General features: G+C 42.5%; 1 protein-coding gene across 60 annotated transcripts in view, besides 1 other annotated feature; it reads left to right on the plus strand.

The window, feature by feature from the left end:
- The window catches only part of PXK (PX domain containing serine/threonine kinase like), a 93,236-nt gene that overhangs the window by 31,246 nt on the left and 49,962 nt on the right, over window positions 1–12,028 (plus strand). For 25 of the 60 annotated variants that reach the window (NR_146194.2, NM_001349528.2, NM_001349529.2 and 22 more), the window contains exons 2-3: window positions 1,737–1,787; window positions 5,294–5,341. The exons of 18 other annotated variants lie outside the window; for them this stretch is intronic. Coding sequence is in view for 31 of the 42 variants with exons in the window: in NM_001349488.2 (NP_001336417.1) it covers window positions 1,737–1,787; window positions 5,294–5,341 (99 nt within the window). In the remaining 11 variants the exon portion in view is untranslated. The remainder of the gene's footprint in view (window positions 1–1,736; window positions 1,788–5,293; window positions 5,342–12,028) is intronic. 17 more of the 60 variants (NR_146193.2, NM_001289099.2, NM_001349514.2 and 14 more) reach the window with 2 other exon arrangements.
- Window positions 2,662–2,862: a silencer, noted in NCBI's record as "peak4672 fragment used in MPRA reporter construct". NCBI's record gives its function as "represses an SCP1 promoter by STARR-seq MPRAs in K562 erythroleukemia cells {active_cell/tissue: K562}" and the evidence as "EXISTENCE:reporter gene assay evidence [ECO:0000049][PMID:32103011]".

Below are 12,028 nucleotides of genomic sequence, written 5' to 3' on the forward strand. Positions count from 1 at the left end.
CTAATATTTTGGTAAGGATTTTTGAGCCTATGTTTGTGAATGGTATTGATCTATAGTTCTCTTTTTTGTACTGTCTTTGGTTTTGGGACCTGGGTAATACTAGCTTCATCAAGTGAATTGGGAAGTGTTCCTTCCTCTTCTGTGTTTTAGAAGAGTTTGTAGAGAATTGGTGTTGATTCTTCTTAAGACACTTAGTAGAATTCTCCAGTGAAACCATTGGGCCTTGATACATATTTGGCGGGGGGAGGGGAGCGGAGTTTTTTAGTTATGAATTTAATTATAAATCATTATAGGCTGGGCGCGGTGGCTCACGCCTGTAATCCCAGCACTTTGGGAGGCCGAGGTGGGCGGATTACTTGAGGTCAGGAGTTCGAGACCAGCTGGGCCAATATGGTGAAACCCCATCTCCGCTAAAAACACAAAAATTAGCCGGGAACAGTGGCAGGCACCTGTAATCCCAGCTACTCAGGAGGCTGAGGCAGGAGAATTGCTTGAACCCAGGAGGCGGAAGTGGCAGTGAGCTGAGATCGTGCCACTGCACTCCAGCCTGGGTGACAGAGTGAGACTCGGTCTCAAAAAAAAAAAATCATTATGAAGATCAAATTATGTATTTCATATTGAGTGAGTTGTGGTATTTAGTGTTCCTGAGGAAGTGGTCCATTTCATCTAAGTTGTCAAATTGATATATGTAGAATCGTTCACAGCATTCCCTTATCCATTTGATATCTGCACAGTCTGTAGTGGTATCCTAATTCATTCTTGATATTAATAATACATGTCTTATCTTTATTTTGTCCATTTTTGTCAATTTTATTGGTCTTTTCAAATAATCAGCTTTTTATTTCTTGACTTTTCTCTATTTCTTTGTTTTCAATTTTATTGATTTCTGCTCTTTATTTTTCCTTCTTCTGCTTGCTTTGAGTGTATTACGCTCTTCTTTTTCTAGGTTCTTGAGGTGAAGTTTAGGTTATTGATTTGATAGTTTTTCTCTTTTCTAATATAAGCATTTAGTGCTTAAATTTCCCTCTCAGTGCTGTGTTAGCTGACGTGTCCCACAAATTTTGATATGCTGTATTTTCTTTCAGTTCAATGTATGTAATTTTTAATTTCCCTTGAGATTTTGTCTTTAAAACATGGATTATTTAGAACTGTGTTGTTTAGTTTCCAACTGTTGTGGAGATTTTCCTGTTACCAATCTTACTGATTTCTAGTTTGTATGATTTTGGTTCTTTTAAATATTTTGAGATTTATGGCTCAGGATATGATCTGTATTGGTCTATGGTACGCATGATGACTTGGAAAGAATGTGTATTCTGCTGTTACTGGATGGAGTGCTCTATAAATGCTAATTAAATCCTGTTGGCTGATGGTATTGTTAAGTTCTTCTATATCCTAGTTGGTGTTCTGTTTAGTTGTTCTGTCAATTCCTGACAGAGGAGTATTGAAGTCTTCAACTATAATTTTGGATTTGTCTGTCACTTCTTTCAGTTTTATCAGTTTTTTGCCTCACATATTTTACAGCTCTGTTGTTTGATGCATATACATTGAGGATTGCTATGTCTTCCTGGTAGATTACCCTTTTGTTTTTATGTAATGTCCCTTTCTCTCTGTCTCTGGTAAATTTCCTTGCTCTGAAGTCTACTTTATCTGATTTTTTAAAACTTATTTTTGATTCCCTGCTTTGGGAATCAAACTCAGTTTTATAACTGAGGTTATTCTTCCCTTCTCTTTTTAAGGAATATATTATTCGAGTGCAAAGAGGAATTTCTGTGGAAAACAGCTGGCAGGTAAGCATCTTTTTTTTTTTTTTTGTCAATTAGAAAAATATTTAAATGCGTGACTAAAACCCTGACTTGGGGCCTCTGAAAGTCTGGAAAAATCAGAACATGCATAAATATAAATCATGTTTCTTTTAGCTATAAACTTTTAGCTTTAAGACAAGTATGATAAGAGTCTTTCCTGTCCCCAGTTGTTTGGTTAAATTGTGTGTGATTGATATTACTATGGAGGGTATCTAGGAATTTGTTCCCCAGCTCAACCCAGGGCAAATAGTGTATGCAAATTACTTGTTTTCTTTCTAGAAATTCACACCTTCTCCCCTGTAGCTATGGTTTGAGTTCAGTCTACCAGGTAGAAAGGTGAGATTGAGTCTTGGTTATTGTACAGTTTGGGCCACTACATTTTATGGATCTCAGGTCCACTCATGGGCAGCTTCTGGTGCTAGCTCCCTCATTGTCTCTAGGGGAGGGTCTTCTTGGGGCCCCAGGCTCTGCTTTCTTCAGTGGTGGCCTCAGAGAGAAAAGAATTCCTGGACAGATCGAGAGGTCCTTCCCATCTGAGTTGACTTACAGAGGGTGGCTGAATTCTGCATAGGGGCCCTTTCTTTCCTGTTTTAGTAATTATAATTACCACCTCCACCTCCCCGCAACACTTCTTCTCTCCCAAAAATCTTACCTTCTCCTTCACAGCCCAGCTCAAACTTTAACCTTCTACCTTAAGCAGCCTCTTACACACAGTTGTCCACACTTGGTCTTTTCTTTGCCTGAAATTTCAAACTACTGTTTGTTTGAATAATTATTATATTTAACATCTATTGAGCATGTATTAAGTGTTCACTGGTTTAAGCACATTAATTCACTTAACCTTTTAAAAATGTCCTATGTGGTAGTATTGTCCTCATTTTACATTTGTGAAGTAAGTAACTGTCTAAGGTCACAGTTAGATCATTGGCAGAGTAGAGTTGGAATTTGCTCATTCTCTGTGGTTAACCACTCTACGATCTTTTGCTTCTTGGCTCTTATCAGGGATGACCTTATATTTAACTTTTTGATGTATATTTGGCAAACAGGGCCAACAGCAGTGTCCTACCAGAAAGATCAACCCTTGGTGCAGTTTTCTAGATCCATTGCATTAGAAACCCAGGAGTACTCAACAAAAATGTAGACTCTTGGGCCCCATCCTAGACCTACTGATCAGATTTTCAATGGGTGGGGTTGTAGGGGCAGAGAGGTGTGATACCTTTCTTCACCCATGGTAATGGTTGTGGCCAACACTCCTATAACAGAAGACAGATTAATAAGGGAAAAGCATAACAAATTTATTTAATAAAAGCTTTTTTTTTTTTTGAGACGGAGTCTTGCTCTGTCACCCAGGCTGCAGTGCAGTGGCACGATCTTCGCTCACTGCAAACTCCGCCTCCTGGGTTCACGCCATTCTCCTGCCTTAGCCTCCCGAGTAGCTGGGACTACAGGCACCCGCCACCACGCCCAGCTAATTTTTTTGTATTTTTAGTAGAGACAGGGTTTCACTGTGTTAGCCAGGATGTTCTCGATGTCCTGACCTCGTGATCCGCCTGCCTCGGCCTCCCAAAGTGTTGGGATTACAGATGTGAGCCACTGTGCCTGACCAATCAAAGTTTTATGTGACACAGGAACTTTCAGAAATGAAGACCCAAAGACCCGGGGAAAACTGTCCATTTTTATGCTTGATTTGATGAAGAATGGATAGCCATGTAGAATGTGATTGAACAAACAATTTCTTTATGTTTTTATTTTTATTTTTTTGAGATAGGGTTTTGCTCTGTGGCCCAGACTGGAGTGCAGTGGTGTGATCACAGCTCACTTCAGCCTCGACCTCCTGGGCTCAAGTGATCCTCCCACTTCAGCCTCCTGAGTAGCTGGAACTATAGGCAGGTGCCACTATGCCCAACTAATTTTTGTGTGTTTTTTATAGAGATGGGGTTTGGCCATGTTGCCCAGGCTGGTCTGGAACTCCTGAGCTCGAGCAATCCTCCTGCCTTAGCCTCCCAAAGTGCTGGGATTGTAGGCATGAGCCACCATGCCTGGCCTTGTCTGTTCTTCTTTTTTTAATTTTTAGTTTTGTAGAAAAGGGGTCTTGCTATGTTGCCCAGACTGGTCTTTAACTCCTAAGCTCAAGGGATCCTCCTGCCTTTGCCTCCCAAAGTGCTGGGATTGTAGGTATGAGCCATTGTGCCTGGGCCTGTCTGTTTTTCTTGGTCTGTCCGTGTAGCCTTCCTTCCTCCTGGGTATGGGGCAGGACCCCTTTAGAATGAGAGTCCTCAAGGGAGAAGGGAGAGAGCAACCTCTAGGTTTTATGGCTTACTTTGTGAGAGGTAGAGGGGCTAGAGACAGGAGGGCAGAAGACCAGAAAGAATAACTCATTTGTGAGCCCTTCTTTTTTTTTTAGACAGAGTCTCATTCTGTTGCCCGGGCTGGAATGCAGTGGAGCGATCTCTGCTCACTGCAATCTCTGCCTCCTAGGCTCAAGCGATTCTAGTGCTTCTGCCTCCCGAGTAGCTGAGGCTACAGGTGCTCGCCACCATGCCCAGCTAATCTTTGTATTTTTAGTAGAGACGGGTTTCGCCACATTGGCCAGGCTGGTCTCGAACTCCTGGCCTCAGGTGATCCACCCGCCTTAGCCTCCCAAAGTGCTGGGATTACAGTCACAAGCCACTGTGCCCAGCCCATTTCTGAGGCCTTCTAATCTCCTTTAGTTCAAAGTACTTAGCATGCCAAAGTACCATACTGGGATATCATTTTCTGAGCCCCGATAGGGTTCTAGGTGATATCCAGGTAATACTTTTCTGCACATTAACATGTGAAAATCACCAATAAAGGTTAAAGTCAAACTATTCAAACCAAAATTATTTTCTTGATCAGGGCCTGAAGAACTAGTAGAATTTGACTATAGCCTAATCAATGGCATTAATACAACTGAGAAAGAATGTGTAGACAATGGAAGGTGGACTGTCTGTCAAGAGGGGGAACCCTGGGGAATCAGGGCGATGTATGTGTGGCAGCTCTGCCTGCAATGCAGTCCAGTCTCCAGGGTGGTGGGAGCTCACCTGGGGAAAGTTTGACCCAGGACAAAGGTGAAATGGCCTCAAAACTGTCCATTTCCTCTTGCTTTGATTCCATGCTCAGTAAAACTTTTTTTTTTAAGTCATTCATCTTTCTAGGTGCCTGGTTAATAAGAAAGACAATTGAAGGGCTGTTTGCCCTGAAAACAAATATTCTCACTTATCTCTTGGCATCTTGTGAATTTGACAGGTATTAACCAGTTTCCCATGGCCCAGCCAACGCTTGGCACTGCTAAGTCTGTTTTCTAGGCTTGTCAGGTTAAACAGTTAAGCACCAGGTATAAGCCCTACTACCCTTAGCACAAGTGCCTGAGCTCTAGAGTGCCAATATTACTAATTCTAATACATATTAAATAAAGAAATGAAAAGAGATAGTCTTTGCTGAATCAAAACACTACTTCTTGTCTCTTACAGATTGTTAGAAGATACAGTGACTTTGATTTGCTTAACAACAGCTTACAGGTAAATGTTTTGAAATTCTAATTACACACATTGATTACTTGGGGTGTCTAAAAAACTGGCTGGAGTCGGGGCACGGTGGCTCAACGCCTGTAATCCCAGCACTTGGGGAGGCCAATGCGGGTGGATCACCTGAGGTCAGGCGTTCAAGACCACCTGACCAACATGGAGAAACCCCATCTCTACTAAAAATACAAAATTAGCCAGGCGTGGTGGCGCGTGCCTGTAATCCTAGCTACTTGGAAGGCTGAGGCAGGAGAATCACTTGAACCTGGGAAGCGGAGGTTGTGGTGAGCCGAGATCGCACCATTGCACTCCAGCCTGGGCAATAAGAGTGAAACTCTGTCTCAAAAAAAAAAAAAAAAACAAAACTGGTTGGAAATGGCAATATCAGAAACAAGAAATTAGCACATTTCCCTGTCAAAGAAAATAAATTCATACTTTATACAGATGATGTAAAGTATTCCCAAAAATAAACTTTTGGGAATCAACATGTGATTTATAATTAATAGTCACCTTGCAACCAAGTATTATTGTGCCAGACTGTATTCTTACCACAGTCATAGGAGGCTGACGTAATATCTCCTTTTAACAGATGTGGAATGATTGCGTGGATTGCTAGTGTTGTTCACTTAGGTGGAGCTGGGACTCTGAATCTCTTCATTGAACTAGGCTACATATCAGCTCTGCGGATCAACATGCAGCAGTAACTGAGAGTCTCAACCTTTTTCTGTTTAACTTTTTTATCCTAAATATGTAGTTAGAAATCCCTTTGTTTTAAATGTTCCTAACTTGAGGGCCATAATGGGAAGAAGCATGAGCTGGAAGGTCTTCATCTAGAAACACAGCCAGTGTTGGTAATGGTTAAAGGGTCCAAGAGGGGCTTTAGCACCTTAGGAAGTCCTGCCAATACCCGCCATGTCTTCACTTGGCAGGCTGGTCTTCAAGTGCCTTGGATTACTGAAGACTATTGTGCTCTTGTGTGTCATACTTCAGGTTTGATTGGTAACATAAAACCCTTTAAACCTGAGGAAGAGTGCACGGCTTATGAGGTAAAGGACTCAGCCAGGAGGGAAAGGACTGCTCCCGTCATTGGTGAGCTAGCCGTTATCGCTCATTCTGAGGGACCTCTGATCTTGCCCATAAAGGTCAGGAGGACTGTGCACTAGGAGGAAGCGTAATACTTCCTTTCCTTCAGAAGGCCACGTTTTGTTGGTCAGACTTCAGAAAATAAGCATTTGGGCCACACGTCGTGGCTCACTCCCGTAATCCCAGCACTTTGGGAGGCTGAGGCGGGTGGATCACCTGAGGTCAGGAGTTCAAGACCAGCCTGGCTAACATGGCGAAACCCTGTCTCTACTAAAAATACAAAAATTAGCTGGGTGTGGTGTGGGCGCCTGTAATCCCAGCTACTCAGGGGGCTGAGGCAGGAGAACCGCCTGAACCCAGGAGGGGGAGGTTGCAGTGAGCCAAGAATGCACCACGTTGCACTGCATCCTGGGCAATAGAGCAAGACTCTGTCTCAAAAAACAAACAAACAAAAAAGGAAATAAGTATTTGTACAGCCCACACTTTAACATTATTTATAATGCTGCTGAAAGCATGAATGCCTTGTTTTCCTTTTGAAGGAAGGGGCCTGAGTATCTGCAGATGATTATGTATTGCCATACTTGTCATGCATTTGACACATAATGTCTTTTTGTGTTTTAATTTTAGTATGACCCATTTGAGTCTTCAGATAGAATATTGGCAGACATCAGATTCTCATCAGTGGGTTTAATTGGTTTTATTTATGGATTTTAATAGCATCTTTGCACTCAGACAAGAGCTGGGCCTATGATGACATTGTAGATAAGGTATCAATGTGCAGTTTATTCCAGCAGTGGATTTTCTCCTCAAGCCCTCCTCTCCCCAGTGCAGTGGCCCATGTGACATTTCCACAGTGGTGTAAGCATTTGGGAATTAACAGTGGGCCTACTAACTGTTTCTGCCTTTATGCTCAAGCGAACCTTTGCTTGTGCATAAAGGGGGCGTGATCTTTGTACAATGTCATTCAGCCAGGCCGAGTAAGAATTGTGGGAGAAATATTTTTGAAATTGAAATTGCCTAGACTTAGCCTCTAAGAATAGAGGGTGGGGAGGGGAGTTTTATCTCTCATTTACTCATACTTTGGGGTGATAAAGTTTCTCCACAACTCTTCACTTATGGCCTTTTTAATATAGTGAATTTTATGCTTGCTTCAGTGTAATTTTACCTTTTAAAATGGGGACTTTCAATGTGCATCTTATTTCAAATGCAAATATCCCCATGTATTGATGTTGGCTTATGTTGGGCAGAATATGGTCAGACATCATTTCAGTGGGAGGTTTTTCTGGATTCAAGTAAACAAACAGAAGAAAGCACATACAGCTTTTTGGCAGTGAAATAATTTAAAACAATATCCATAAAACAGACCAAAAAGACTCAAACCTCAGAATAAAACTGTGACCATGATTTTCAGTGTCCAATTACCCTTTTGACAGATAAATGAGTTCCTGCTGAAGAAAGAGAAATATAATACACATATGCAGAGTTGGACACATGTCTGAGTCCAATAGGAACATGTCTAAGTGAAAAAAAAGCAGAATGCAAAATTATATATGCCATATAATATAATTACAAGAAATGTTTGGAAAACAGGATTGCAAGTAAATATGCCAAAATGTTAATGGTGATCCCCAGGTGGCAGAATTATAGGTTATGTCTTTTTCTGTTTCTTTGTTTTGTTTTGTTTAATGTTCTGTACTTTCCAAGTGCTCCACAAACAAGCACATGTAGGCTATCTAAGTGGAAAAACAGAAAAAAGCTGCTTTTTCTTTTTTTTTTGAGATGGAGTCTCACTCTGTCGCCCAGGCTGGAGTGCAGTGGCGCGATCTTGGCTGACTGCAAGCTCCGCCTCCCGGGTTCACCTCATTCTCCTGCCTCAGCCTCCCGAGTAGCTGGGACTACAGGCGCCCGCCACCACGCCCGGCTAATTTTTTGTATTTTTAGTAGAGACGGGGTTTCACCGTGTTAGCCAGGATGGTTTCAATCTCCTGACCTTGTGATCTGCCTGCCTCGGCCTCCCAAAGTGCTGGGATTACAGGAGTGTGCCCAGCAAAAGCTGCATTTTCTAAAGTTTTTTTTTTTTGAGATGGAGTCTCGCCCTGTCACCCAAACTGGAATGCAGTGGCGTGATCTTGGCTCACTGCAATCTCTGCCTCTTGGGTTCAAGCAATTCTCCTGCCATAACCTCCCGAGTAGCTGAGATTACAGGCACGTGCCACCATGCCCGGCTAATTTTTGTATTTTTAGTAGAGACGGGGTTTCACTGTGTTGGCCAGGCTGCCAGACTTTTTATAGTGAGCATATTTTGTGGAAACAATGAAGAAAAATCACCATCTTATTTTAAATGCAACATCAGATTAGCAGCCATCTAGGGAGACAGCATACAACGAAGGGAAAGAAGCAGGCTGTTGAAATGTTGGGAACTGGGCAGAGAGAGAAAGAACTCAGTCTCTGTTCCTTAGACTTGAGAAGGAACCCAGGCCCTGCCCCTTCCAGTGTTGAGACCTTGAGTCCGTCATTTCTTTTTTTTTTTTTTTGAGACGTAGTCGCTCTGTCGCCCAGGCTGGAGTGCAGTGGTGCATCTCTGCTCACTGCAAGCTCCACCTCCCAGGTTCACGCCATTCTCCTGCCTCAGCCTCCTGAGTAGCTAAGACTACAAGGCGCCCGCCACCATGCCCGGCTAATTTTTTGTATTTTAAGTAGAGATGGGATTTCACTGTGTTAGCCAGGATGGTGATCTCCTGACCTCGTGATCCGCCCACCTTGGCCTCCCAAAGTGCTGGGATTACAGGCGTGAGCCACAGCGCCTGGCCGAGTCCATCATTTCTTCTCTTGGGTTTCACTTTCGCCGCTGAAATAAAGGGGTTGAACTAGATGACTTCTGAGGTCTCTTATAGCACAAATGTTTTGTAATTAGAATTTTACTGCCCATTGTTGACCTTGGAGAGACTTACTGTACTCCAGGGGACAGCAGGGGGTTGAGACAAATTGAGGGTCTGTTGAAAGCTTAGAACTCCCTAGGATACTGACTGGAATATGGTTGAAGGCAATTTACAGATCATGAAGATCTGATGTTGGAAGTAAAGAGCAATGAACAGATTGAGGTTGAAAGTTTTTCATTCCTGTCTTAGCCCAGGGCCTTTGTATGTTCTGTTTCCTCTGCCTGGAAGTTGCTGTAAGCTTGTGGCCAGTGCCATCTCATCCCCTGACGTGGTGGCTCACGCCTGTAATCCCAGCACTTTGGGAGGCCGAGGTGGGTGGATCACGAGGTCAGGAGATCGAGACCATCCTGGCTAACATGGTGAAACCCCGTCTCTACTAAAAATACAAAAAATTAGCAGGGCGTGGTGGCCGGCGCCTGTAGTCCCAGCTACTCGGGAGGCTGAGGCAGGAGAATGGCGTGAACCCAGGAGGTGGAGCTTGCAGTGAGCCGAGATCGCACACTGCACTCCAGCCATGGCGACAGAGCGAGACTCCGTCTCAAAAAAAAAAAAAAAAAGTTTTCCCTCCAGATAAAAGCTAGTTTTCTGAAACTGTAATATAGTTTGTCATATAATTTTGGGCTCTAAATCCCAATTTGGGAATCATTCCCTGCTTTCCATTTTCTTTCTTTTTTTTTTTTTGTTTTGAGACAGTCTCACTCTGTTGCCCAGGCTGGAGTGCAGTGAGCCGAGATCGTGCTCACTGCAACCTCCACCTCCCGGGTTCAAGCGATTATCCTGCCTCAGCCTCCCAAGTTGCTGGAATTACATGCCCCCACCATCATGCCTGGCTAATTTTTTTGTATCTTCAGTAGAGATGGGGGTTTCATCATGTTGGCCAGGTTGGTCTCGAACTCCTGACCTCAGGTGATCCACCCACCTCAGCCTCCCAAAATGCTGGGACTACAGGTGTGAGCCACGGCGCCTGGCCTCCCCTTTCCATTTTCACTCTGCAGTTGTGCATAGAACTCCGGGGACTCCTCTGCTGGCTGTCTTGTTCTCTTTTCCTTCTATAAGGAACTCAAGAAGGGAATCCATAGGGCATGTTAAAGAGGAAGGTAGTGAAAGTGAGATGATGAGGCATCCTGGCTTGAAGTCATCAGTGTGGAGGTGTCTAGGAAATCAGTGGCTTAGAGACTTTATTATTCCATGTGTAGTATTTTTTTCCCTCCCTTCTAATTAGCCATTGGAATTCTAAATTTTCTATTCTGTAATTGGTAAGCAGTTTAGAAATTCTAGGAGAAAGCTGAAAGAGAAAGTAAGTGTCTCTTGAATAATCTTTTTTAAGAGATGGGATTTTAAAATAACACATATGTTGCATAGTCTGAGTACCTTTAGGAATTTTTTTTGTGAGATCTTAAACTTAGGGCAGGAAAACCACCTCCGGTCTGTCTGACATAGCAGGGACATTATAATTGCAGCTGTTGGCAAAAGAGCTCTTTGTTTCACCTGACGGTTTGAAAGAACTGATGGGATGTCTGGGCAGAGCAATACATTTAAAAAAGTGAAATGAAGCTTGACAAACTGGGTATGTTGAAGCTTGGAAGCCACAAAGTTCAAAACAGATACTTTATGAAATTCACTCTCACATCCCCACAATGAAAGAAAAGGAGCCAGAATATTGGGATTTGAATCCAATGATGTCAGATGTGACTCCTTTCTGAGTGATGTGGACTCAGCTGGGGATGCTGCTATGCGGTAGTGCAGGCAAATCTGTCGATACTGGGTAATGGTATTTTAAAAATCCTTGCTCCATATACAATCAGTTTGATAAACAAAAGCACTTTTCTTTCTTTAATTGAAAAAAAAGTAGTAAATGAGCACTGTAAACATTTCACAGTAGAGAAATAAAAATTAATGAACCAACCCACTCCTAGAAATGGTTATTGTTAAGCAGTTGGTGTGAGTCCTCCCAGACATTTTTTCTGTGCCTGTGTAACCATATCCCGGGCTAAGACAGCAGGCTCTCAGATAACACCGTTTTGTTCAACATTGTTTGGTTGTAATGTTGATGAGAAAAAAATAAATCTATCCACGACCAAGGCCACTGTGTGAATGGAGTTTGCACTTTCTCTCCATGTCTACGTGGATTTTCTCTGGGTACTCCAGTTTCTTCCCACATCCCAAAGATGTACAGGTTAGGTGAACCAGCATGTCTGCATAGTCCCCATGTGAGTGTGGGTGTGTGTGAGCGCACCCTGACATGGGATGGGTTCCGGCCACCTGAGACCCTAAACTGGAAACATGGCATAAATAATTAACTTGTTAAGTTGGCAAAATCTCACCAATGCTAAGCATTATAATTGCTTAAGTAATTTTCCATTTCTTCTGGATTCTTTAATTACATTTTAATATCTATATAATTGCTTTAAGTAATGAATGTTAAGTGCAAAAATACACCAAGTTAACAACAGCTACCCTCCAAAATAATAATTATCTTGTTTTTATTAATCTTTCTTAAATTATATATAGGTAATATTTATTTCAATGTTTATTATTAGACATGTTTTAGGTCTTTAGAAGTTTGCTGATGTTTTTGTGACCAGAAATATGCTGGAGGAAGTTAATTCTTGTTTATATAAATTAGCCTGGCCGGGCGTGGTGGCTCACGCCTGTAATTCCA

The sequence above is a fragment of the Homo sapiens genome, chromosome 3, assembly GCF_000001405.40.
Source record: "Homo sapiens chromosome 3, GRCh38.p14 Primary Assembly".
Lineage (NCBI taxonomy): Eukaryota > Metazoa > Chordata > Mammalia > Primates > Hominidae > Homo > Homo sapiens.